This window comes from Homo sapiens, chromosome 7, assembly GCF_000001405.40.
Source record: "Homo sapiens chromosome 7, GRCh38.p14 Primary Assembly".
NCBI classification, from domain to species: Eukaryota; Metazoa; Chordata; class Mammalia; order Primates; family Hominidae; genus Homo; species Homo sapiens.
The window spans coordinates 150,716,613-150,743,684 of record NC_000007.14 but is presented as its reverse complement, the minus strand read 5'-3'; the positions used below and the strand labels follow the sequence as shown (position 1 = coordinate 150,743,684).

General features: G+C 43.0%; 3 protein-coding genes across 4 annotated transcripts, besides 3 other annotated features; all 3 read right to left on the bottom strand.

The window, feature by feature from the left end:
- Positions 1-38: 38 nt before the first annotated feature.
- Positions 39-6,267, bottom strand: GIMAP5 (GTPase, IMAP family member 5). Its single transcript, NM_018384.5, has 3 exons — positions 5,977-6,267; positions 2,758-2,806; positions 39-1,502 (listed from the first exon to the last, which is right to left on the bottom strand). Exons 2-3 carry the CDS (start codon positions 2,798-2,800, stop codon positions 622-624), a joined length of 924 nt encoding a protein of 307 aa, NP_060854.2. The 5' UTR covers positions 2,801-2,806; positions 5,977-6,267; the 3' UTR covers positions 39-621.
- GIMAP1-GIMAP5 (GIMAP1-GIMAP5 readthrough) lies at positions 39-27,072 on the bottom strand. 2 transcript variants are annotated; one of them, NM_001199577.2, is made up of 6 exons: positions 26,995-27,072; positions 24,595-24,643; positions 23,279-23,637; positions 5,977-6,180; positions 2,758-2,806; positions 39-1,502 (listed from the first exon to the last, which is right to left on the bottom strand). In NM_001199577.2, exons 2-6 carry the CDS (start codon positions 24,635-24,637, stop codon positions 622-624), a joined length of 1,536 nt encoding a protein of 511 aa, NP_001186506.1. In that variant the 5' UTR covers positions 24,638-24,643; positions 26,995-27,072; the 3' UTR covers positions 39-621. The 2 variants fall into 2 exon arrangements, with proteins under 2 accessions (NP_001186506.1, NP_001290559.1); NM_001303630.2 differs by lacking the exon at positions 23,279-23,637.
- Positions 6,191-6,270: an enhancer, noted in NCBI's record as "active region_26843". NCBI's record gives its function as "activates an Ori minimal core promoter by ATAC-STARR-seq in GM12878 lymphoblastoid cells {active_cell/tissue: GM12878}" and the evidence as "EXISTENCE:reporter gene assay evidence [ECO:0000049][PMID:35858748]".
- Positions 7,146-8,132: an enhancer, noted in NCBI's record as "OCT4-NANOG hESC enhancer chr7:150432641-150433627 (GRCh37/hg19 assembly coordinates)". NCBI's record gives its function as "activates a minimal SCP1, AML or CMV promoter by ChIP-STARR-seq in naive H9 embryonic stem cells {active_cell/tissue: H9 hESC(naive)}" and the evidence as "EXISTENCE:reporter gene assay evidence [ECO:0000049][PMID:30033119]".
- Positions 10,166-10,305: an enhancer, noted in NCBI's record as "active region_26842". NCBI's record gives its function as "activates an Ori minimal core promoter by ATAC-STARR-seq in GM12878 lymphoblastoid cells {active_cell/tissue: GM12878}" and the evidence as "EXISTENCE:reporter gene assay evidence [ECO:0000049][PMID:35858748]".
- GIMAP1 (GTPase, IMAP family member 1) lies at positions 19,401-27,072 on the bottom strand. Its single transcript, NM_130759.4, has 3 exons — positions 26,995-27,072; positions 24,595-24,643; positions 19,401-23,637 (listed from the first exon to the last, which is right to left on the bottom strand). The coding sequence occupies exons 2-3, from the start codon at positions 24,635-24,637 to the stop codon at positions 22,760-22,762; spliced, it is 921 nt and encodes a 306-aa protein (NP_570115.1). The 5' UTR covers positions 24,638-24,643; positions 26,995-27,072; the 3' UTR covers positions 19,401-22,759.

Sequence of the window (27,072 nt, the reverse complement as noted above, 5' to 3'; positions counted from 1 at the left end):
ACTGGGAAGTTCCAACAGATTTAAAGGATAAAAAGGAATGTGGAGAAATTTTTATTACTTTGAATGTTTTAGAATGCAGGTAGAAGAGACCCGGAGCTCAAATAGCTTAAATAAGTAGGAAATCTATTGGCTAATACAACTGGAAATGCGGAGATAGGGCAGGCTGCAGGGCTGGTGGCTCAGGGCTCAGGGGGCCCCAACTCTCTGTGCTGCTCTGAGGCACTGCCTTCAATCTCAGGTTGGCAGCACAAAGCTGCTGAGAGTCCCAGTGTCACGCCCAGACCCCACAATGCCAGGGAGGAAGACAGGTTCTATCTAAGGAGAGATCTTCCATCCCCACCTCTGCGGACTTTTACTCACTTCTCAGGGACCTGCATGGGATCTCAGGCCCATTCCTGAAGCAGTTGTTGGCAGACAGAGTGGAATAGTGTTTACAGCAGGCAGGCAGCCTTGGAGTGGAGGCACACAGCTCCAAGTCTATCAGGAAGAAGGGGAAATGGGAGCTGCACAGACAGCAAGCAGCATGCTCCATAGACCACGAGGATCTGAGTCTGAATTGGTGATTATTAGAACAATGACTCCATGGGGTGATACATTAGAAGTGCTCCAGGGTCCAGAGATTTAAATGTAATGAAAGATGAACAGAAAAATAATGAAAAAAAGTATGCTGCACAACAATAGAAAAACAAAAATCTCATAATGCAAAAGCATCAAGTGTTTGACTCTGAGGAGCGCCTTGTATGCCCAGTTACTCTCGTTCTCCCTCAGCTCTTGCTTGTGCTTCTCCACCTGCCATTCCACTTTGGCCTGGTACTGCCTGTAGTCTTCCTGGCAGGCCCCAGCTCCAGTTCTTTGGAGCAGCTGGGCATCCAAGAAGAGGTCATTGCTGTGGAAGGAGCCCTCTCGCTCCCTCCCCAGCCTCTCAATCACAGCCAGGAGCTCTGCCTGCTGCTGCCTCTGCTCCTCCACAGAGCCCCAGTTGTTGAAGGCACAGTACCTTCTCTCACACTCCCGCACCAGGTCTTTCAGGCTGCAGTTGTCCGTGTTTGCTACATAGTCATCCAGGGCCTGGCCCCCTAAGTCCTCTTTGTGGGTGAAGAGGATGACCACATGTCTCATGGCCCCTGTCCCAAAGACCTCTTTCACCTTCCTGATGGCCACTGTGTCCTGAGCAGTGAAACGCCCCAGCTGGATCACCAGAAGCAGGACGTGGGGCCCCGGGGCAGAGAGCAGGTAGCAGTCCCCGATGTTCTTGTACAGCTCTTGGGTATCGGCCTGTGACTCAAAGATGGAGGGCGTGTCAACCACCAGGACTTTCCTCCCGTTCCATGTTCCTGTTTTCACCTGGCACGTCCTGGTCACTGACTGGGCCCTCAGCTTGGACTCAAACACGGGCTGGCCAAGGATGCTGTTCCCTGTGGCACTTTTCCCGCAGCCTGTTTTGCCCACTAGGATAATCCTCAATGCCGGTGGTGTTGCAGACAAGTTATCTTCTGATCTACCTGTAGAAAACGAAGTTTTGTATCTTACTAAGTTAATGATTCTTAAGACTGTTAGGTCATTGTTCATGGTTATCTCATGAAAGCTATGAACGTCCTCCCCAGAATGACAGACATATTTATGTGTACATAAAAGTGTGCATACAACTATAGGTGAATCTTGCATGTAGAAAGCCCCATTGGAAGCCCATGCTTGGATCCACAGCCAGGAATTAGAACTGTTGCATTAAGGGGATGCTTTAAGCACTTCATCTGGATTGTGGCAAATAGAGCTTTCCTGAAAGAAAATGGTCCTTGTGTTTTCCCCTGCGTGGTGTTTAGGCCAGCTCCATGGAGAATTATTAGAAAGAGGCAGGGGATTAGTAGTTACAAGTGAGAAAATCCAATTACTTCTCTTTCACCCACACATTTCCAGGCACACTTGTATAGACACACTCCACACATTCATCCAAGTCTTGAGGGTCAAGGAGGTCTCCACTGGCAAATCTATAGTGACCCACTGCCGGGGGTCAGCTGCCTGTCCCTGGGTCTGTGCCCTCTGGATAGGGAGTGAAATGTTTGAAATTGAGATGACATAGGTTGTAGTTAATGTTAGGGCAGCGTCTGGGAGATGACCCTAGGGTGGATGGCTCAAAAAGGTGGAAGATAAGCTCAATAGAAGCATGTGTGTTGAAAAGCTCATCTATGTGGCTGATTGAAGCACACAAAATTATAGCAGAAGTGGTGTTGGAGAGGGTGACACTGTGGCAGGAGCGAAAATCTTCAGGCACGAAGAGGGGAGAACCTGTGGATTTCTAGAGCCCAAATGAATTCGAAGTGCATTTTAGGCTCTTAAAAATCTATTATTTTATTTCTCCCACTCTGGGTTGGTTCTTCGTTTTCTTAAGTTATTCTGTGGTGTTTTGTAGCAAGCACAATGACTAAATCCCTATGGGGACCTTTTCTTTTTGAGCTGTCAGCAGACAAAGAAAGAGAAAACATATTCACCATTTGCTTCCAGACCCTTCAACCTATGACTTGGTTTCCTTTCCACATTTCCCACATACCTGATGCAGGGAGAGCATCACACTATGGTGTGTGTGTGTGTCTGTGTGTGTGTGTGATGGTTTGATAACACACACGTGATGATAGTTGCCTTTATCTTCTTCATTTAAAATGAATGGGTTTCTGCCACTGTGTTTTAGATGGGGGTAGATGGGGAGAGAATTGTGATTCTCCCAAGTGTCTGGGGCTCTTGAGAACTTCAAGACTTTCTTACCTTCAGCCATAGTTCCATATTTGCCCCTCTGGAATCCTCCCATTCTCTCCTGGAATAAAAACAGGAAAAGGATAAAAAGCAGATGTACGTTTGGGAGCTGGTAGAGCCTGAGGGCACCTCAATTCAGACATCTAAGAATAATCATTCTCAAATGAGCCATTTCCATCCCTAATTTTCTAACTCATACTTTACTTTGAAACATCTGTAAATAACTTTAAACAAAGCAGGTGATGTTAGATGTTAGGTTATGCTAAAATAGTGCACGATTACTTCCCTCCCCTCAACTTACAGAAAATCAGGAAATATTTTGAAGCAAATCAGTTGATTATCTCCCCCAACCAGAAAGGCATGAAATGGAGAAAGCATTCTTCTATGGAACAAAGAGTAGGCATTAAAAAAATTGAAATTAAAGTAACAAACTTACCAGAATAGAGAAAAAAAAATTGCCTTGCTGTAAATAAGATTGGTTTATTTGAAGTAGTGGAAACTTCCAGTCCCAGAAAGTCTTTGTGTCAAATGGACATTCCAGCGGCGGAGAGGAAATTACAAGGTACTGTCCAGTGGGAGGATGGAAGTGGGGATCAGGGACACGAAGAACTGACGTGAGAGGAAATGGTATAGGGGGACCGGTATGACCGCTTTCCCACCCTGACGGTTGGTGGAGAGGAGGTAGTGAGGTGATTGAAGAGAAAGAATCAACTTCAGGCCGAATTCAAGAACAACTCATTGCCTGCTCCGGGTTTCCAGCATTGTGCAACAGTATTGGGGATGTACATTTTCCACGTGACTGGTTATTGCCAAATATGACTCCCAGGGAGTTGAGTTAACTCCTATTTGCACCACCCATTTATAAGAAGTCCCCAAATCTTCACAGGCACTTAGTAATATTACACTTTTAATTTCCTGTCATCCTTATGGGCATAAATAAGGATGTCTTAATTGGCTTAAACTTACATTTTACTGATTATCATTAAATTAAAAACAGTTTTCATGGTTTATTTGCTATTTTGGTAATTTATAAACTTCAATTTTTAATAACTTCTGTGATTTCTATCTTTTCCACATTTTTCTATTCATTCAGTGGATTTTCTTGGCCTTCTTTAGGTCAAGAAATCTATTTTTATATTATCAGAATGTATTAAGACAGCTTCCTGCCTCCCTCCCTTTCCCTTCTTTCTTTTCTTCCTCCTTTCCTCTTTACCCTCCCCTCTCTCCTTTCTTTCTTTTTCTTAAGCCCAGAGAAGAACATTTTCCTCTCTCCCACACCCTGTTCTCGTCTCTGGTAAATTATGCTTCTGGCTTTTGCTAAAATAGCACCAGTTCCCTGACATCCTCTCTACTTTAGATGACGTTTTCTGAGGTTTGGAATCAACATAATGATGTGGTAAGGGTCAAGATGACAGTGGTAATGATATTGATTATGAACATCATAATTGTAATAAGCCTCTGTGAATACATTTATAATTTTCAAAGTTATTTCATCCTTCTTATTTTAATTGCTCTCTCAAATTCCCTGTGATGTGATCAAAACTGATCTTAAAATTTCTATTAAAATGCAAGGAAACTGAGCATTAAATGACCTGCCAAAGGTCACATATTTACAATGGAGCTAGCATCAGGAAATGGCTCCTTTTGCTGTGTATTGTCCTTGATTCCACAGGTGGAAAAAGAGACTTTTCCAAAAAAGTCAACAAACCTCTTGGAACATGTGTACAATGCTGCCACTCCCTGGTCAGGAGACAAATTAATTGGACAGCTAGAAGCCTACCCTAAAACCAACACACAGAATTTTATTGCAAAATCTTGAGTGCATTTCTTATAAAAGGTTATTCAAAAATAAAATTGCTGGTGGCAGGAGTTTCTCTGAATTGAGGTCTTTTCTTTTAAAACAGCCAATTGCCTGTCACAAAAGCCAGTCAAACTATGTTATGTTAGCCAATGACCAGCAACAATAGCTCTCCCAATCCAAGCTTTCTGAGTGGATCAGGCTGCATTGAGGAATACATTTTTTGGCAGATATTCACAAATAACAAAGTGTTCACAGGTGAGTCAGAAAGGATACTGATGGCAATGCTAAAATGAGTCATGGAGAAGATTATAAAAGAACTGAATAGAGCGTGGTGGACACACCGTAGGCTTGAAGGAATGTGATACGTGTTGGTCTACAGGGCAGACAAAAGTGGAGGAATTGAGAATGAAGACAGGCGTCTTCTCCAAAGGAAAAATTTTACTAATCGTCCCACAAAAGAGACCAAAGTTCATGAGAGATTGGAAGGCAGTGTGCAAGCAAGACAGTAGCAGCCTCTGGCAAGCTGGTGGGAGGGTCTGGCTCAGGGAAAAGGGTGAAGCAAATGAACAAAATGCACATTCCGATTTGAAAATTGCATGAACCTGATTTTACCATGAGAAGAGCTTATTTTAGCAAATTACAAGAAAGCAGCCTCTTCCATACTATTTTAGAAAAGATCAAACCACTTCTTGTCTTCCTTGTTCATAAGTATCTCCTTCACCCATCTGCCCCAGCCCATGTATTTCCAGGTATTGGAATCATGTGTTTTGCGGTTTGGTGTGCGTCCGGCAGGGTGTCATAGGAAAAATGTGGGGCATCTGGGGGAGCATGGGGTAGTTTTCAGAAGTTGAAAGTCACAAGACAAGGTCCACTCAGGGGTCTTGTTTGGAACATGAGGCTCCTGGGGTGGGAAAATATCCCACATTTGCCCTGGGGAGCCCTAAGAATCCATCCTCAGCTCCCAGGCTTGTCTGAGACATGGTACGTGTCTGGCTGGTCTGGGACAGGAGAAATTAGGAGGGTAAAATTGAGAAGAATGCCCCGGCATGCTAGGGGAGATGGGGGAAAGCCTATCACCCTCTGGGAGCTTCAGTTCTCCCATCTGTCCCACTGATGAGAGGATCAGTTCAGCCTTACTCCCTGAGAGTTTCATGGAGATCGACTTGGCTAAGTAATGGGCAATGGGGCAGCAAAGCCCGCTGTCCTGGGACTGGGCTGTGAGTGCAGGCACAGATTCTTCAGGCTGTGCTCCACCAGCTGTGCACCTGCTGATGCCCGCAACACTCATCACCATTGCCCCGTTTTACTGACCAGCGAACCCAGAAGTGAGGGGATCTGTGCAAGGTCATGTCAGAAATGAACAGCTGTGACCAAACTGTGATCCTTTCAATTCCCAAAGTCTCTGTGAGCATAAACCCAGTTCTCCTTACCAGAAACGGTTGTTGTGCCCTGTCCTCCAGGGTGGCAGTCACTGAGGCTCTGGCCGCTGGTCCTCTCTCAGGAAGGTGAAGTGGCAGCAGAGAGAGTCCTGCTCTGCGTCTGTGTGCGGGGATGCTGTTCACAGGGCTGAGGGAGGTTGAGCAGACGCAGTTAAGGAGGAGCCATGTGCTGGGGCTGAAAGCTCCATGACTCAGCTGCACAAAAAGAAAAGTAGAGATTATGGAGTGTGTCCCCCACACCTCTGCGGACTAGGACACCCTGGTGTTGGCTGGAAACTGATTGGGAACAAGACCCTGAAAACCAGCCGAATGCAGCGATGTGCTGCTTCCTTAACGGGTCACTTCCTGTCATGAGCCTGCCCTGGGACAGTGTGCCCCATCCCATTTCCTTTTTTTTTTTTTTTTGACTGTTTCAAGCAAGCAGTATTTGGAAGAAGGAGATATGAAGGGAATTACAGACTCTCCCACTTCCAAGTTCAGAAAAGGTCCCTAGTGACTGGAAAGTTCTGGGCAGCAGCTGCTGCCCTCAGCACCCATCACCGGGGCACCTTCTCCTCCCAGCACTCTTGGGCCCCTTCTCACAGGCTCTGCTTCTGGAAAGTTTCTGCTAACCAGGATCAGAAAGGCACTCTGGTCCAAAGAGGACCAGAACAAGCCCTTGCAGGGTTTGACTCTGGGCTCGTGACTGACCCTGGTAAGCTGTCTGGCACGTGATGGAGCCCACCCTGTGGGGACATTGTGGAGTCTACGTGTCAGTTTATCTGGTAAGGGTTGAAAGCAGGGTGATAGAACCTCTATTTTTGAATTGATTGCCATTTAAGGCTAGAGCAGTGGACATAAACCTGATTGCCATTTAAGGTTAGGGCAGTGGACATAAACCTGATTGCCATTTAAGGTTAGGGCAGTGGACATAAGGCAATTATGCGATGGAGAACACAGTGGGACTTAGGCGGAGGGCCGTCATGGCCCAGAGAATCCCCATATCCTTTTCTGTTGACATTTGAAGTGGGGCTTACAGTCATATGGTAACAATTGTCTAAGACTTGATGGGAAAACAATTTTAAACAATCTCCTGCTAGCCCAGAAAACCTCTCCACAGAGGCAGAAGAGAAAGAAAACAATTTTATTATTGAATGTCCATTGAACCAGAATGTGATCTGGATCCCAGACAATCCAGGAAGAGATTGCAAAGACGGAGAGGGATGCCACCTGGTTATACAGCCAGGCAGGTGCCACCTATTACACACGTGTTCTCAAGTTAAACCATAACTAATCCTCAAGTAAGAGGACTTGACAGCACCCTTTGACATGCATAGTTCATCCTAAATTCACTCAGTAATCATCTGTGTTGGCTAATTGTCTTTCCAGAGGAAAAGTAAACTTCTCACATCCTCTATGGCAAGAGGAAGATTTGCAACTCAGAAAGGTGCTGGCAGATGTCAGGCTCCTACCTAAGTTAGGCTCCTAAATTAGGCCCCTATTTTCACACAGAGACTGGGAGGTGGGGACGCTACCTTCCTTGATGTTTGCATTTCAAAGGGATGGCTTCCAGATGCTCTACAGACAGCCCTGGGCTGTCAAACAGCTTTTAAAAAGATTTGCATTACAAAGGGTAGAGAAAGATTTCACACTTACAAGGTTTCTAAAGAAAATGCTCTAAGAAGGGAGGGGTAATTCTTTTCCACTTTGTTTTTTCCCCAGAAAAGAGAATTAATGTTTTCTCCTTATTTTTGATTTTTATTCGCCCTTACATTTTTAAATTCTTCAAGGACTTTCAACCTAGTCAGCACTCATAATTTATGTGAATTGAGCAGAGCAGGGCAGAAAGTGGGCTGTAATCTGACCAGGATTTCACCCTTGCTAGATAGGGACCAGGTACTCCCCCAGCACCTGGCTGGAATCTTTCAAAAACTTGACCAACAGAGTTCACATCAAAATCTTATAAACAGTGAGGGGCACCGAAGCTAACCATTCCCATCAATGTAGCAAATTCACTTAATTCTGGCAACATCTTCAAACTCCTTCTCTTCTTTCCTTTTGGTTTGAACTATTTGCAAACATTATTTTTATCCACTGAACTGGGTGCTCTGGCACCCCAGCTAAGGACTGATTTTCTGCTTTGAGATCTGTTCTCTAAGTCTTATCTCTTCTCTAGCAGTTCCCAGGCTCCTCTTATGGCTCAAAGAGACCCCAGGGAGTCAATGATGAAATGTGTTAACTGGTCTCTATCAGTTTTCTGGGTGAGATCGTGGGCTTTTTAGAGGCCAGGGACTGTCTTTAGGTCAGGATCTTGCTAGAACTTAGCCCTAGAAAGTGCTCAAAAATACTTACTGAGTAAATCAGTAAAACATACAACTTAAATGCTCTAACTCTTCCCTCATGTCCCCTTTTGTAGTTACATTTAGTGCTAGAAGAATAATCTTAGGTAGCTACTTTCAGAAAGTAGGGTTGTAGAAATTCGTATATATCCAGATATGAAAGGATTTCCAAAACTAGACTCTTTGTGCCTTTTTCCACACCCTCTCTATTCCTCTGTTCAGATTTGCAAAACAAACAAACCCCCAGGAAACCTGGGACACCGAGGAAGTGGCCATTTTCCCTACCCTTCTGTTTGACACCAAATTCAATCCCTTTTCAGCCTGGACAGAGACAGTTCTCTACCAAACCTGACATAGTACAAAATATGATGAATCATTACTGAAAGCATGTCTCTATCCATCCCCAGCCACCTCTGCTATCCCTGCTTTCTCTCTGTGATGCTCCCTGGTGCACAGAACTGAGCACGCTGAGTTGCAACTCATGTGCTCTAGCTATGTGATGAAGTTTCTGGAGTTCTGAGTGCAGTAGCCATCTCAGAGTAGATACCTGTAGGCTGCCCTGAGAATCAGCTTTATTAAGCTGAGGAGATGCCAAAGCTCCATCTCGGAGACATTTTGGGCAGCCACCTTCCCTACCAACTTGGAGTGATTCAAGGACCCCTGGGTTCATGCCTTGGACCTTCTGTTTGAAATGGGAGACAGACAATTATTGCCTTCTGATGAAGGAGGAAGGGAGAATGAGGGAAAGAGGAGGCATGGCATTTACCACTTTCTCCTGAGCCACTGGGCTGAGGTCCTAGGTGACCAACCGCCAACTTGCCCTGAATTTGACTGGATTTAGTACTACAAGGCCCACGTCCTGGGAAACCCCTTAGTCCCAGTCAAAGTGAGCCTGTTGGTCACCACAAGGTCTCCTAACTCTTAGTCATGCTTGCTGTCTTTCACCATCTGGCCTCTGTCTCTTCATCCATCATCTCACCCTATTCCATGAAGGTCTCCTATGAACATGACTAGTGGGAAATGTGGAAATGAAACCCCAAGTCAATGTTGGGAGGCCCTGAAGCCAAATGCTGAAGTGTGATTTCTCTTCCTTGTCGGTAGTCACTCTAAAAAAAGTTCTTTCTTGGAACTTTTTTTTAGAACATTGTGTTCTTACGAAAATCAAAGAGCAGGTAAAAGATGCTGAAAAAAAGTATTAAAATGCAGGCATTTCTATATTATCAACATTATTATTTCCTTTGTGTCTGGACAAGGTCATGGCTACTCTTTTCAGGGCTGAGAGGGTCCAGGTCAGGGGCGCCTCTAATTGGAGGTGAGGAAAGGAGCCTCCTGGATCAGGGTGCTCTACAGAGACCACAGCTGCTGAAGAGGCTTCACGGTGGGGGCGGAGATCATCTAGGGGTGAATCCAGGAGGTAGAGTTGAGGATTCAGAAACATCCAGGTCAATAAAAGGGGCCACTATTTGAGCCCACAGTTGACATACAACATGGAGGAAGGATTAACGATGCCATGAAGTACACTCTAAGTATCTAAATATTGCATCTTTTGAAGCAAATTTACCCTATTCTCCTGAGCCTTTGCACCACACCAGACCTAATGGGTGGTAAGTCCAGACAGCACCCATGGGAAGCAGACAAAAAGCCACCCTCGTAAGGAATCTGAAATCTTATTAGAGAGACAAGACTTATGCAAATGAAAGACAATGAGTAAGGGTCCCAAATGAATGTTTTGGACAAGTGTATTTCATACACCCCATTGTAGAGCATCAAAACATGAAATAGAGTAGAATAGAAACTATCAAAATTAGTCACACAAAATATGAGTGTATGTAAGCTCTGGGAAGCAGTATAAAACTGAGGGTCATGGTAAAAAATACATGATAGCACAGTTTTAGACAATGTATTAAGCAGGATTTTGGGAAGAAAAGAGGTCAAAACGGACCAACCCCAAGGAGAAAGCCCTGAGGTGTGGAGTAGAACTTGGACATGTGATCAAGGTTGACTGGAGGTGGAGAAGGGGCCCTTTGAAGCGGTTATTTTAAAGGAAGCAGAGAGTATGTAGGTGTCAGGGCAGGACAGTGCCTAGAGCAGGTTTAAGAGCTTGTTGTCATGACCTCTGGAGTTGTCTGGGTAGCTGATGTCTAGTTGTCTAATTCCATAGCATTGCATTTAGAGTAGAACCTTCACCCATTTAGTTAGCTCAAAAGGCCAAGAGGGAGCAGCAGGACTGAATGCATGCCTTGACGCTCTCCTCTAGTTGTTTATTAGATGAGTTAGATGAGGTCCAGATGGGATGATAAGGTCCCTGAAGATTTCCTGGCTGGCACCATGGAGGACAGCTCCTGTTGCATCTGGAGTGGGGTGGACCCTCCTGAAAGCCTAATGAGACCCTCCTCTACCCTGACATTATCACCTGCAACTGAATGTCTCCTGGTGAGCATCTTGGGATCCACAAGCTGATATCTTCCTGTCACGAATAATGTTTCTGAGCTTGCTGAGGTGTACCCTCACCAGGCTGATTTCCTTTTGAGTCATTACATTGGAAATTCTCGGCCCTTGAGCTGTCTATCAATTATAGGTTTGTTGAGATATTTTCCCCCTCACCCTTCAGAGGGGAGACAAAGAGCCCCCCAAAACCCCAAGGTGGCTCGAGGCCTGAGATCAGTTGCATCTGAGGTTGAGAGCAGCCTCTTCTGTTTACACACTATGTTGTGACAAATGTTACCATGTGGACATCGACATGAAAAAGTTGGGAAGCTCTACTTTTGATGAAAAAAATATAATATACAAAGTCCTGCTGTCTGGGTCTTGCTTTCCTTCTGTCTGAAATTACTATTGACATTTGACATCATGGGGTATCAGAGTTACCAACAGGCACATCTGTAGGACTGGCCCAGGCTTCTTGGGGTGCACATTGTCTTTTAACATATCCCACCCCAAGATCTCTGGTTCCTCCTCTCCTGAAGCTATCAGACCTCCTCTCCTGAAGCTATCAGGAGATTCTGTCAGATTCTGCCCCAAGCAGTGCTCCCAAGCTGCCCCACCGTCTCTGTCAAGGCCAGGTTTTCCCAGATCCAGGACATGGGGTTCCTGGCCTGGGGATGCTTCTGTATCCTGGGAGCCTAAGCAAGGACCACAGTGGCTGCCTATTTGCTTTTTCAGAGAAGGGAAAACACAGCAAGAGCAATGATAAAAAGTGGAGGCAAAGCTGAATGTGTGAAGGCAGTTGATTTGCACAAGAAGTGTTAGAAACAGTTCAGTGACAACATTAGAAGTCATACCTCCTGTGGCTTTTCTATGAAAACTACAGCCTGTGCTGCCATAAGCCTCATGGAGACTTGCATGTACACGTCTGCCATTTGAGTTTAACCCAGTGAATAACTGAGTTGTGTGGAAGGGAAAGGAAAAAGGCACAGGCACAGAAGGTGAGAGCTAGAAGAATCTTGGGGATCATGTAAACTAGTCCTTTCCTCCCCCATATTACAGATAAGGAGACTGCAGTCTAGAGAAACCGTTTTCAGAAGACCACATTAGTTAATTTTAGTATATGGCGTGAGATATAAATCAAGATTTTTTTTGCAAATATATGTCCAGTTTTTCATTCCATCAACTTATCTTGCAGGGAGTATCCTTTTTTATTAAATTACTTTGGTACCCTTTCAAAAATTAATTGATCATATATATATGTCTATTTCTGAACTGTATTCTGTTCCATTGATCTTTATGTCTGATTTTCACCAGTACCTCACCGTTATGATGATGGCAGCTATATATAAATCTTGTGATCAGGAAGTGGAAATTCTCTTTTTCTTTTTCAAAATGGTTTTGGTTTTTAAATATAAATTTTAGAATCAGCTTGAAAAATATATAAGAAAATCCTTCCAGATTTTGATTGTGATTGCATGACTCTACAGATTCATTTGGAAATAACTGATATCTGAATAATATTGAATCTTCTGATTCATGGACATGGCATAATATTGTTCCAGTTATTTAGGTCTTGTTTGATTTTCCTCATCAATGTTTTGTAGTTTTCAGTGTAAAAACCTTAGATTAATCCCAATATTTTATAATTTTAATGGTACTATAAAAGGTATTGATGATTTAATTTCAGTTTCCAGTCATTCATTACAAGTATGCAAGAACATAATTGATTTTTGTTTGTTGACCTTGTATTTTCTGACCTTGTTAATTTATTAGTTCTAGAATTTTTTCTTGATTGAGATTTTCTTCATAGAAAATTATGTCATCTGCAAATAAAAACAGTTTTTATTCTGTTCTTTCCAATCTGTGTGCTTTTAATTTCTTTTCTTTGCCTCCTTTCACTGGCAGGATCTCTATCAAAACATTAAATTGGAGTGGCAATGAGGGACATTCTGGCCTTTTCCTGAACTTAAGGGAATGTATCCAGTCTTGTACCTTCCGTATTCTTACGGTTTTCTGTCTACATGTTTTATTGATTACTGAGAAAGAAGGTTTAAAGTATCCAAGTATAATTTTGGATTTGTCTATGTATCTTTTTGGTTTCTTTAGTTTTGCTTCATGTATTTTGAAGCTCTGTTTTTAGGTGCAAATATTCTAAGGATTCTTATATTTTTCTGATACATTAACACATTTATCATCATATAATGTCCATCTTTATCCTTGACAATATTCCTTGCTCTGTGGACTACGGATCTATGTTATATTAATGTAGGTTCTCCAGCTTTTTTTTGATGAGTGTTTTCATGATGTTTATTTCCTCATTCTTTTAAGCCATCTCTATGACTGTGATAGGCAGAATTCTAAGGTGGGCTCCAAGATTCCCATAAACTAGTATACATGCCCTGGATAATCTCTTCTTCTTTAGTGTGGGAAGACCTGTGAATAGAATGAATGACATTCCTATGATTGGTTTACATGGTAGAAGTGAAGGGATTTTGCAAATTTAATTAAAGTCTCTAATCAGCTAGTTTTGCATTAGTTAAAGGGGAGATTATTCTGGGTAGGTCTCACCTAATTAAAAGAAGCCTTAAGAGCAAGAGATACTTCCAGCTTTTAAGAAAGAAAACATTCATGCTTTAAACTGCCTGTGAATATATGGAGAGGGGCAGCCTCTAGGATCTACCCACAACAACAGTCTTTCAACCACAAACAACTGAATTCTGCCAACAACCCGAATGAAGTTGGAAAAGGACCCTGAGCTCCAAATGGCAGCATGGGTAAGACTTCGATTTCAGCTTCACAAAACCCTGAGTCGAGGATCCATCTAAGCCATGTCTGGATTCCTGTGCTAGGCTGTTTTTGCATTGCTATAGAGAAATACTGAGACTGAGTAATTTATAAAGAAAATACATTTATTTTGGCTCACAGTTTGCAGGCTGTGCAGGAAGCACAGTGCTGGCATCTTCTTCTGGTGAGGGCCTCACAGTGCTGGCATCTTCTTCTGGTGAGGGCCTCAGGAGGCTTCCAATCATTGTGGAAGACAAAGGGGAGCCTGCATGTCACACGATGAGAGTAACAGCAAAGTGTGGGGGAGGTGCTACACACTTCCAAATAACCAGGTCTCACTCACTGCAGTGAGGACAGCACCAATCCTTCTATGAAGGATCCACTCCCATGACCCAAACACTTCCCACCAGGTCCTGCCTCTAACATTAGAGATTACATTTCAACATGAGAAATGAGGGGCCAAACATTCCAAAAATATCAACTCTTGATCCACAGAAACTGTGACATAATAATTGTGTGTTGTTGTAAGTTGTCACATTTGTGGTAATTTGTTATGCAGCAATAGATAACCAATTCAGTCATTATATTTAAAGTGAATTTTTTAGTAGATAGCCTATGGTTGAATCTTATGGTTTTCTTGTGGTTTTAACCAATCTAAATGGATTTTAGATCATTTATCACAATCTACCTATAAAAATTTCAGGCTACTTCACATATATTTTAAGAAAGTTACAATAGTGTATTTGCAATTCATCCTTCCCATTTTTATATTATTGTTGTAAACTTTTACATATTTTATAACTTCCCTAATACACTATTACTATTTTTGTTAGAGCTATAAAATGTAAAAGAAATTTCTTTTATATTTGTATTTATTTTTTCCATTTCTAGGGCTTTTCATTTCTTTGTGTAGATTCAAATTTCTATCTGGTGTCATATTCATTCCTTCTGCCTGAAAAACTTCTTTTAACATTTCTTATAGTGAAGATAAGTTGATAATTAATTGTTCCAGCTTTTGTTAGTTAGATTCTTTATTTCACCATCATATTAGAAAGATTTTTACTGGCTATAATATTCTGGGTAGTTTTTTGTATTTCAGTATTATAAAGATGCTATTCAATTGTGTTCTGAATTGTAGTTTATGACAAAAAATCAGCTGCAATTCTAATATTTATTCTTCTAATATAATGTCCTTTCCCCCTAGTTATATTTAAGACTTCCTCTTTATCATTGGTTCTCAACAGTTTAAGTATAAAATGTCTAGATTTTCTGTTTTGCTTTGTTATGTGTTTACCCTGCTTGGAGCTCTCTGTTTCTTGGATCTGTAGTTTGGTGTCCTTCAATACTTTTAGAAAAGTCTTAACCATTTCCTTTTCAAATATTTCTTCTGTCCATTCTCCCTTTTTGACAGGTATGTTAAACTGCTTGATATAATTTCATAACTCCTAGATATTGTTTTCCCCTCATTTGTTTTTCTCCTTTTGCTCAGTTTGAACAATTTCTATTAACTTATTTTCAATTTCACTGATTCCTTCCTCAACTGTGTCAAGTCTACTGATGTAACCCTTAAGGAATACTTCATTTCTCATAGAATGTTTTTAATTTCTAACATTTACATTTGACTCTTATAGTTTCCATTTCTCTGTTGAAATGCCTAAAATTTTATTACATGTTGTCTACATTTTTCACTTCGTCCTTTAGCATAGTAATCATAATTATTTTAAAGTCCCTGTCCCACTTCTGGATTATTTCTGAGTCTGGTTCTGTGGATTGTTTTGTCCTTTTATTATGGATTATTATACTTTTGCTTTTCTGAATACATTATAACTTCATTAAATTGTAAATATGCACAGTAGGAAAGTAGATTGGGATAAATAGTATTTATACCTAGAATGGTTATGCCTCTTCTTCTGTCAGGCTGTTAGTGTTCAGTTGAGTCAATCTAATTAAGAGTTGAACTGGGTTGGGGTTGTTGCTATGGTTACCTTCAGTGCATCTTAGGTTTTTAATTTGTTTAGTGTTGCCTTGTGCTTAGGTGGGGACTGAAATGCCACAGGGCTTTACCTGGTGTTCCTGTTCCATTCACCCTCAGATTTCAGTTATCTCTGCATAACTCCACTTCATAGAGGGTGGTTCCAGGCTTTGACACTTCCCTATAGTAGACTGGATTGCTTGTTAATCACCCAGTATTTTTTTAGATATATGGCAAGGGCAGAGAAGTGTTCTTTGTTGTTCTTACATAGCTTCAGTCTTAGGCATGCCCTATGTGCCTGGGCTTTGGGCACTGGGCTTTCTCAGTGATCCTGACCTTCTTCCTAATGGCAGCTGTATTCGTGAGGGTTCTCCAAAAATAGAGAACCCATTGTGTGTGCGTGAGTGTGTGTGTGTGTGTGTGTGTGTGTGTGTAGTTGGTCTGCATGATTATGGAGGCTGAGAGCCCCATAATATGCTGTCTGTGAGCTGGAGAACTAGGAAAGCTGATGGTGTAATCCAATCTAAGTTTGAAGGCCTGAGAACCAGGGAAGCTGATGATGTAACTCTCCCAGTTTGAGGCCAAAGGTCCAAGAACCAGGTGTGTGTGTGGGAGGTTGTTGGTGTAAGTCCAAGAGTTCAAAGGCTTGAGAACCAGGAGCTCCATTGTTTGAAGGCAGGAGAAGATGGATGTCCCAGCTCGAGAGGAGAGAATGAATTGCCCTTTGCTGCCTTTTTGTTCTATTTGGAACTTCAACAGACTAGACGATGTCTGCCCCTATTGGTGATGGCAGAACTTCTTTACTCGTTTGAATCTACGGATTCAAATGCTAATCTCTTCTGGAAACACCTTCACAAACACACACAGAAATAATATCTTACTAGCTATCTAGGCATCCTTTAGTTCAATCAAGCTGACACATAAAATTAACTATCACAGAATCCAGGGTGTTCTTTGTATATGTGTAATAGAAGTCTTGTGCAGAACAGGTTTTTTTTTTTGCCTCTTTTTAGAAGTCAGTTGTCAGTCCAATTTTCACTCTTTTATAATATGTCTTTTTTTCTGCTTTAAGTTTATTGGTTTAATTGAATTAGTGGATTGATATATTTTATCTGTTCTGGAAAATTCTCATGTTTTCAGATATTGTCTTAACTCCTGTTTTTCTATTCCTTTTTTCTTTTTGCCTTATCTCTGTGAACCTATGTTTTTCCATTCTTTCAGAATGATGATTAATATGTTAAATCTTCTCACTCTTTTCTCTATATTTCTTACCCTCTCTCCACATTGCCTATCTATTTGGTATCTCTGGGCTGCATTCCGTATTTTCTTCTATCCTGATTCTCTCTTCAGCACTGTTTAATCCATTAAATCTGTCCACTGAGTTGTTAATTTCAGTTATATAAGTTCAGGTTTGTGAAGGAGGAAACACCAAAACTGGATTGGATGTACAAAAAATTTAATGGAGGCAGAAGCATGTAGAGGGAAGGATAGATTTCAGACCATAATGGTTTGACACCTGTGAAGGGAGAGTGGAAAGAAAGAAGGTTTGGTTAGGAAGAGTCGTGGGCAGTGCAGTTCCAGGAAAGATTCAGAGAGCCAAGAGAGAGTCTTTGAGCCAAGCCACCAGTTAGAGGAAGCTCATGTCTTTCCAGGAGGAGCCTGAGTACCCTCACCATGCCAATGTGCTAGCTCACTGGCTGGGAGCAGTCTGCAGGTGGCATGCCTTTGGCACAAACATGGTGGTGGGTCCAGAAGGACAGAAGCAGGGCCATTTACCAATCATACTCTCCAGAGCTGGTGACATGGGTGGCATGTTTTATGGCTGCCACATTCCGTTTGTCAATTCTAATAGTTTTATTTGGTATGTTTGCAAATGTATCATGTCAGTTTTATATTTTCCTATTTTCTGAAGACATTTTAAAGACTGCTTAAAAATTGTCTTAGATATTGTAAGTATACTTATTTTACACCCATATCTGATCATTATAGTATCTCAAGTTTTTGCTTATTTGTTTCTGTTACTTTTTGTTTGGTTTTCTCATTGCATCATGTTTCTTTTGGTGTTTGGTTTTCTCTGAGTGCTAGACATTACATTTAAAAAGAAGTGTTCAAGGGAAAATTTAAGGCCCAAAATATTAGTATCATCCTCCAGGTACAATTCCTTTTTAATGCCAAATCTTGAGACACTATTGGAGAAAGACCGCTTTAATCAAGTCTAAGGACACTCACACTACCAGTCTACAGGAAGGATGATTTACATCTGAGAATTTATCACTTTAGGATCCTTTTTTTCTTTTTTCTTTTTTTTGGGATGGAGTCTCACTCTGTCACCCAGGCTGGAGTGCAATGGCACAATCTCGGCTCACTGCAACCTCTGCCTCCCATGTTCAAGCAATTCTTCTGCCACAGCCTCCCAAGTAGCTGGGATTACAGACATGCACCACCACGCCTGGCTAATTTTTTGTATTTTTAGTAGAGACGTGGTCTTACCAGGTTGGCCAGCCTGGTCTCAAACTCCTGACTTCAGGTGATCCGCCTGCCTCAGCCTCCCAAAGTTCTGGGATTACAGGCGGGCTCCTTTCTAAAAGTAAGGCGAGGATGACATTCTTCACTTTGGATGGATTGTGGATTTTACTTTTATCCTGATTATCCTATAAAATTACCAAATCCCAAATTGTGGCTCCATCTTTAAGCTGTTTCTACTTGACCTGAAAATACCCTAAGGGCAAAAGTGGCTGCTTATCAGGCTTAGGTTTCTGGGTTTTCAATTTTCTTAGGTTTGTTCTAGAAATTCCTCACTCTTTTGTTAGGTCTTTGAAGCTTACTATTTAATTTATTTTATCCAGAGTGTTAACATTATTCTCTATGGGAGTATTGTACTAATTATCTAGCCACCTTTACCATAAGATCTATGTTCCATTGATTTTTTTTTTTTTTTTGAGATGGAGTCTCGTTCTGTCACCCAGACTGGAGTGCAGCAGCACGATCTTGGCTCACTGCAACCTCCGCCTCCTGGGCTCAAGTGATTCTCCTGCCTCAGCCTCCTGAGTAGCTGGGACTACAGGCTTGCACCACCACACCCGGCTCATTATTTTTTCTTTTTTGGTATTTTTAGTAGAGATGGGGTTTCACCATGTTGGCCAGGATGGTCTCGATCTCCTGACCTCATTATCCACCCTCCTTGGCCTCCCAAAGTGCTGGGATTACAGGCGTGAGCCAATGCACCCGGCCTCCATTGATCTTATTGATTCTGAGTAACCCTAACTGAGCATCAGAGACAATCTTGATCTAGGTCTTCATGTGCAAGCTGTTATAGAGGGACCTACAGAGAATATTAGTTATCTCCTTTAACACAAGAAAGAATCAGTGGCTTTCCAAGAAGAAGGCCTTCTCTGCCTACTGGAGACAAATTTTGATAATTCAGGCTTAAAACCTGGAGTTGATCCTTCTGCAGAACTGGAAGTCAGAAAGTCTTTCTTTCCTTTTTATTTCTTGAGATTGAGATGTCTATCCTTGGTGTGTGTGTGTGTGTGTGTGTGCGCGCGCGCACGTTTGCATGCATGCAAGTGTGTGTGTTTAATTTTTGAGCAGTGGTATGCAATTCTCTTCAGTGTTCATCATGATACATTCTGCTAGCATGTAGTAGAAAAGATAGTCTAGGAGTCTTCAGACGTATGAAGTCAAGAGGATATGCACAATATAACACCATTTTGAAAGTAAAAAAAGTCCAAGTGCCTAAACTTAGTGGTATGTAAAGAGAATTATGAGGAGGGAAAGAAAATATAAAAATATGAGAAGAATTAGGCAAAGAATGTGATTGAAAGTATAAAAATAAGACTCAAACCAATAATTATAACTAAACATCCAGTATATGGAGTGATAACTTCTTAAAGAAATAAAGAGGAGGGGACAAATTTGTAAGCATCTCAATAAAGTATTTTATTGGCAGAATAAGCAAGAACCGAATCTAGTTGCCTAAGAAGAGGCCAACATTGCCACTGTTAGATTAAGAATCATGGGGGAAAAATGAGTGTTGAGCCATAGTCTAGCTATAGCTTCCCCAAGAATTTACAGAAATTCTCTTCTGGGGTACTGAATCCATAGGTGAATCTCTGGAAGGAGCACTGGCATTTGCTAGGGCTACTGTGCGGGCTGGAACTGAATATTGATTGTGTAAGAATATGTAAGAATGTACTCTGCCTGAAATCTTTTGCTCTAAAAGTTCATCATGGCCAACACTAGCTTTCAGAAATAAGCCAGATACAAGTCTTTTTGTGTAGAACAAAAGCTGATCCAGGTACCAGGGCATAGAAATATGAACAGAAACATTATCAGCACAGGACCCATACATTTTTATCTTCCAAGAGATAAAAGGAGAGGAGAGGAAGGGGGACAATTGAAATGGATATATATTTACACAATTTTTGAGGTATTGGACAGTATTTTTACTGTGTCTGGTTAAAATTAGCAAGCAAGTTTTTCCAACAGGAGGCAGTGCTGTTTTATGCTGTAATTTAAGTATAAAATTGATTTGTGCTATCAAATCACTCAAATTACATAAGTGAGGTCACAAGGCCTAACCTTGAGCTATGGGGGAAAAAGCAACCTTTAAGCCACAGCCTAAAAAAAGACTTTACCGAAGGGAATGGTGAATGCCAACTGTTCTGTAGCAGGAGAAAAGGATAAAATAAGCTGAAAGGGGTGGAAATACAGTAATTTGGGGGACCCTGTGCTTGAAGGGAAGTAAATTTCCTTAGGGCAGGAGAATATCATTAATACAATGACATGCTTGCGCGAAAGAATTTTCTGTTATCTATGGTAGAAAATTTAGAAAATGGTCAAAAGTCTGGTAGCTAGAAATCTAATATTAAAAAGGTACAGGAAAGTCAACTTTACAATTCATTTTCCAAACATTTGTTGATCCCACTTTCTATGCCAGGCACTGGGTTGTATAACGGGGATACAAAGATGAAAAAAAAAAGATCATAATCAAAGTATCTGAAAAAGAAAACCACTAAAGAAATGTTATTGAATGTAAAGGAAAACTGTAACTTCTTTAATAATACATTATTCAAATTCAAAGATGATAGCACATTTTGAGATTCAGATTGGTAATGTATCTTTGATTACACTTTGCAAATGTATTTGACAATTAACCATATACTACTACTTTTTATTACTGAGGTAGGAGGCAGGACTAGACTCTGGAGGTGGGGATTGGGCTCCAGACCACACTGAAGACAAGCTGAAAGGGAAGAGGTGAAAGAGTCTCTCCATAAAACACACTCACCAGTGCCACGTCAGGTTACCATTGCTAAGGCAACAGCTGGAAGTTTTGGCTCCTTTCCATAGCAACAATCCCACGACCTGGAAGTTACGACCTTTTTTCTAGAAATTTTGGCATAATCCACCCCTAAATTTGCATATAGTTGAAAGTGGGTATAAATGTGATTGCAGTACTGCTTCCGAGCTGCTACTCTGGGCACACTGCCTATTGGGAGCCCTGCTCCACAAAGCAGCTTTGTTGCTGCTGTACATTAAACCACTTTGATAAAAGTTGTTGTCTAACACCAGCAGCAGCACTGGCTCGTGCGCAAGTGACCGTGGACGACCACGCTGTGCCCTCCCTGCTGTCCCCTCTGGTCATCAAAGGATCCTTCCCTGGCTCGAGGCCCCTGCCTGGGCCCAGAAAGGCTGCTGAGGAAGCGAAAGGCAGGAATTAAACATGGGTTTTTCTTGAGCCACGCTTCAAAAAGTCCAACTCCCTGCAGCGGTCACCAAGGCCCTCAGGACCCCTCACCATAGCCTGCCCGAAGCCCGCAACCCACCTGGAACCTCCTGCAGTCCTTAGCCTGAGCTGGCAATTGTGCGCATGCTTGCAGACCCCTTCTTCCCAACGTGTGCTGGGGAAGACCCTAGGGCGCCTGCGCACACTCCCTCCTCCTCTTCCTCTTGAATAGAGCTAATGTGAATACCTGCTTCCCATGTCTCCATGACCTCACTAGAGGCTGGCTGATTTAAAGACAATGAGTTCCCTTAAAGGGTTCTCATTATGCTCAGAAATAGAAATAAGGAAATCCTATTGTTTGATTCGCACAACCAGTCAGCGGCAAATTTTCTAATCACGTGGCATTCGAGAACCTTCCTGGACAGGCCCATCCCGAAAAAACCGGATGCTTTCGCCTCACAGCATAGGATGCTCAGGTGTCTGCAGTCTCAGCCTATGCACCTGGTGCTCTGCCTCTTCTCCATAACCAGAGAGGAGCTCGAGATACAGACTGTGTGTGTGTGTGTGTGTGTGTGTGTGTGTGATAAAAATATGAATAACCATATAGAAGATATTATATGTTATTTTCCCAATATCCTACTCTTTTTCTTTTTCTTTTCTTTTCTTTTTTTTTTTTTGAGACAGATTCTTGCTTTGTCACCCAGCCTGGAGTGCAGTGGCACGATCTCGGCTCACTGCATCAAGTGATTCTCCCGCCTCAGCCTCCTGAATGGCTGGGATTACAGGCGAGTGCTATCACGCCTGGCTAATTTTTGTATTTTTAGTAGAGATGGGGTTTCGCCATGTTGGTCAGGCTGGTCTCGAACTCCTGACCTCAGGTGATCCACCTGCCTCGACCTCCCAAAGTGTTGGGATTACAGGCGTGAGCCACCTCGCCCGGCCCTTACTTCATTTTGGAATGCCATGAACCATAATATGTTCTAGAAAAGTGGAAACTGTTATTTTCCACTTTGTAACAGTACAGTTACATTCATCTTTTTGGTAGTAAATCATTGTACTATAAACTGATGTCTCAGAAGTAACATTCACGTGTGTAACCCCCACATTTCTTTTATTGATGCTAAAAGTCTACAAGGATCACAAAGGAACCTATCTACCCATGTATAAGAACTAGAAAATTATCAAGGAGGGGCAGTCTAAATTTTTTAAAAAGCTCGAAAATAATGGCACTTGTTTTCCCTGTGCCATGCGTTTGTCCCCACTACAAGCTACTTGACATTAGACTACCAAAACTACCAAAGGAAGTTATTGTTAGACGAATTTATTTTAAAACTCTGCATACACATCATTTAAAATGAGTTAAAAACTTAAAAAGTGAACTCTGAGCTTTGGCAAAGTTGCAAAGGTGATGCAGCAAAGTTTTCTGTGTCATTAAAACTATGCCTGAAACTACAGGATTCCTTCCGTTGGAATGAAGTTTTCCCTTCAGCTCCAAGAATTCAGCCTCCCTTAACCAAGTTGCCTTCAGTTTTAGGACCTGCGCTGTCAGTCAGGCCCGACCTCCGCAACGGCCTCCGACCACCGCCTGTGGAGCAGCACCCAGAACAGGAGCGCGCCCCCCAGCAGCAGGGCCAGGCCCAGCCTCCAGCTCCTGGGGGACTTCAGCCACTTCCACAGCCGGGCCGACAGCCAGGCGCCCCATGGCCTCCTCTGCACCCTGGCTGCCACGCGCTCCGCCACCCGCCGGAGCCGCTCCTCAGGGCCTGCCCAGCGCAGCACCTGCGCCAGCTCATACACCTCGTTGGAGTAATGGGCGCCCTTGTGCTCCAGCACCAAGCCCTCGACCATCCCCAGCAGCTGCTCCACCTGGGCTTCCTGCTCCCGGCCGGTGGCCCGGTTATCAAAGGCACAGACCCGGCCCCCGCACTCGGCCACCAGCTCGCGCAAGGCCCGGTTCTCTGTGTTGCTCACGTAATCGTGCAGGGAGCCCCCGGCCAGGTCCTCCTTCCTGGTGAAGACGATGACCATCCATTTTAGGACGTCCTCCCCGAACATGTCCCTCACCTGCCTCACCGCCTGCTGGTCCTGGGCGGTGAACCGACCCAACTGGGTCACCAGGAGCAGCGCGTGGGGTCCGGGGGCCGAGAGCAGGTAGCAGTGACCTCTCTCCTCACAGCCAGGATCTGTCTTGGACACTTGGGAGCTGAAAATGTCCGGAGTGTCCACGACTTCCACGTGGCACTTGTCCCACCTGCGGCTGCCCGTGGTGCAGGCCCTGGTCACAGACGTGGCCCCCAGCCTGGAGAAGAACCGTCTCTGGCCCAGGATGCTGTTCCCAGTGGCGCTCTTCCCGGCCCCTGTTCTCCCAACAAGGATGAGCCTCCGCGTGGACTCCTGCCGGGACTGAGCGTTCTCTTCTAAACCTGTGAGACCAAGTGTTATAATCTTACTTAAGTTTAACCAACTTCCCCTTGGGAACTGGAATCTTCTTGCCTTTAGCATAAGTGGTTAAGAATAGAGATTTGAACGCCTGGGCGTTCATTTCCACCTTTTCCTTTTGTATTTGGGTTGTCTGCCTGCACCAGTAGATGCTCCAACTACAGTTGATTATCATAGAAATGCTTCTTTATCAGTCCAGCCCAATAGTTCATCTGACATTTCTGGTCATCCACACACATGCAGACATATTTATTTCATATTTGAAAATTTCGATGGACTCTGAAATATTCTCCCAGAGACCATCCCCAGAGACAGGCAGTGGGGGCAATACTGCCTGGTAGTGAAGAGCTGTGTGGAGTCCCAGATACCCTGGTTTGAATCACAGCCCCACCACGTGCTGGTTGTGTAACCTTGGGGAAGCTGCATAATCTAAGTATTAAGCCTCTTCGGCAAAAGTGGGAGCGATAATAGGGGCCTGTTTCTCAGAGGCCTGTTGAGGGGGTGAAATAAGCCCTCTTTCCTTCTTCTCTCTTTCTCTCCCTCTTTCTCTCCTTCCTCTCTTATCTCTCTCTTAAACTGGCTGCCTAAAAAGAATATATGTTTTAACCCTCTATCCTTGTTCTCTAAACATTCTACCTCACAAATCATGTTCACTGTAGTGCATGATTTAATCCCCTCTGCACTTCTTCTGCGGTGATCGGAGTAGGTTTATTATCCTTATTTTATACTGTGGAACCAAGGGAGCAGGCTAGTCACAGAACTTAACTTCTCACAGCAGAGATCCAGCTAAAATGCAGATCTCAGGGCTGGTGCTGTTTCATCCCAGAGTTGAGACACCTCTGGAACTTATCTCTGTTCAGTCTTGAGGAAGCCCCATTCTCCTTATTACCCTAAGTTCAAGCCTAGGGGGGCAAGTATGAGGTGTAGAGATATGGTCTTACCATAGACATTTTCTTCATCTGTCGCCATCTTCCTTCCTCCCATGCTTACCTGGAAGAGTCCCAAACACAATTTGTTAATTCATTTATTTATTCCTCAAATAGGCATAACCACAAATAGGCATAACCACCTACAGGGTGTCAGGCAAAGTCCAAAGAGCTGGTGACAGCACAGTGAAAAGACATGGTTTTTGCTTGCAAGGATCTAAAAATCTAGGTGTATGTCTTGGCAGAAGGGCACGTGGCTAGAGAGAAGACAGGTAAATTTCGTCAAATATAATACATTGTGCTAATCCTTCTTTAAGTAAGGATTATATCGGAACTTGAGAGAATGGCCTTGGAAGGGCCAACACCCTGCCCTTGAGTTGGTAGGATGCTGTGAGAACATTGGGTGAGGCTAGATTTGTCTTTTCAGGAACTCCAAAAGCAAAAAGCAGAGGGTCGGTTATAACATTTACTCAATGCCAATGGGCTTTAGGTATTACTTTTCCCTGGGTGATTCTATATCACTGACATAAGCTAGAGATATCAGGGGATTCAGCAGCTGGGGGAAGATTAGGTAAACCCTCAGAACCAGAAAATGTGCCCAGTGACTTAGGCACCCACCTTCAAGTGGCTGACCTGGGAAGAAAGAAGAAAATTGGGATTTTTCTTTTGGAAATTGAACAGATCTCCCAAGTAGATCTGGAGGGCCCCTAACTCTGTTTTCTTAAAATCAAATAATTTGGTTTGTTTAGAGATGTCTAAATACGATATCTGTGCTGGAGAGACTTGAACACTTCCCTTCAACTCCTGAAGTTGCTTCCCCTCCAAATGTGATTATGCTGAAATCTAACATTGTGTAATACAGCTAAACCCTCTGTGATCCAGTTTGCCTAATCACACAAGCTCCTGAACACAAATTCACTTCTCCCTGCATCTATGTCTCCAGCCTCATTCCCAGACAATACCCCACTCGGTCAGCTACTTCACAATCAGCAGATTTCAGGGCCTTTCCAACCCACTCGGCTTCCCCTCCTAGGACTATTGATCCTCCCCGACCATCTGTCTGTGCCTCACCATCCATGTCAAACTTGTTGTGTCTTGCACCCTGGTCACTTGGATACCTGTGTTCTCTCCCATTGGCACCACACATGAAGGAGGGGCAGAGAGAGAGGCTGGCTGAGTAACTTGTCTTTGATTGAAGGACTTGGAGAACAGATTTGCCTCATATTAAATCTAGAGCTGTTTCTGTTTCTGCAGGAACTCTACTGGCCCTCCCCAAAGCCTTCAATAAAATTCACTCCATGGGCCTTATGTGATTAATTATTTTGCATGTAGGAATGAACAGATGATCATAAATGACATCAAAGCAGAAATGAAGAAACAGTTGCAAGATTCAGAGAAAAGAATTTAGATGAAGCAAAATGTCCTTGTCAACCAAGAAAATGAGAATTTCTTTTTCCAGTGCTGCAGAATTCTGGATAGGCCTTTGGAATTTTCCATAGTTTAGAAGAGGGGTTGAAATGATTTTAAATAGTTTTTTTTTTTAAAGGAAAGTAAGACCCAGCTGAACTCTGAGGTGACAAATGGCCCTTAATCATTGAGGAATGTACACTTATAGAATCCTGTATTCCTAACACTTTAAGAGACCGCAAAGTTTATTGAGTTCTTCACCGCTCAAATGTGCTGCTTCTCAGAATTACTTGAATGTTCTTTAAAAATGTACATCTCTTGGATCCATCCTGAGATTCTGATTCATGAATTAAATGTTTCTGATGTCCACAGCTCAGAACTTGGACATCAGTCATTTTTGCAACCCCCTTTATTGTACAGATGGGAATTTGAGGTGTCCCCGTGGCTGGAGCAGGAGAAGCTTGAATTAAGGGAGCAGATGTTTAAGGGGCCATGCAGGGAAAGGGGTTGAAGACCAAGATATTAATCTCAGATGTCTCCTCAGGGGCCCCTTCTGTGGACAGTGAGGAGGAGAGTTCAAATGTACCCAGTCTTGTCACGTCGTAACTCACTCCGAGGTTAGATGGCTTATGGGGCCATAGAAATATCTTTTGCCTTTGCTCAATAGGGAGCTTGAGGAATGTTTAATGCCTTTCAAACTGTATTTTATTCCTGGAGGTGGTTCCAGCACACTCTTTTCTTACTTTGTTAAGGGAATGTGGGAGGAGACAGATTTCACTCCCCACCAAGAACGTGTGTGCTCCAGAGCTGGAGAAGATGATCCTAAAATTTCCTCTGAACTTTGCCTACTTAAAAACCTGGAAGTATGTCCTTGATTGTTCCAGATCTTGCTCGCCTGCATGATGCCTTGTAGAATGCAAGTGTTCAGGCAGTAAACACTCTAGGAATCATGTTCTTTCTGGTTCTCAGAGCACCCCCAGCCCCCGCCACTCCCAGGCTCAGGCTCACCTTTCCTGGTGACAGGCTCTGAAGTTGGCCACAAGAAGCCCCAACCTGCTGCTTTCCCTTCGGCTGTGAGTGCAGAAG

Coding starts and splice junctions, on each gene's coding strand:
- GIMAP5 (NM_018384.5), bottom strand. CDS start 2,800: ATGGGAGGATTCCAGAGGGGCAAATATGGAACTATGGCTGAAG. Junction 1,503..2,757: donor ATATGGAACTATGGCTGAAG/GTAAGAAAGTCT, acceptor CGTTTTCTACAG/GTAGATCAGAAGATAACTTG.
- GIMAP1 (NM_130759.4), bottom strand. CDS start 24,637: ATGGGAGGAAGGAAGATGGCGACAGATGAAGAAAATGTCTATG. Junction 23,638..24,594: donor AGATGAAGAAAATGTCTATG/GTAAGACCATAT, acceptor TTGGTCTCACAG/GTTTAGAAGAGAACGCTCAG.
- GIMAP1-GIMAP5 (NM_001199577.2), bottom strand. CDS start 24,637: ATGGGAGGAAGGAAGATGGCGACAGATGAAGAAAATGTCTATG. Junction 2,807..5,976: donor GGGCACAACAACCGTTTCTG/GTAAGGAGAACT, acceptor TTTTTATTCCAG/GAGAGAATGGGAGGATTCCA. Junction 1,503..2,757: donor ATATGGAACTATGGCTGAAG/GTAAGAAAGTCT, acceptor CGTTTTCTACAG/GTAGATCAGAAGATAACTTG.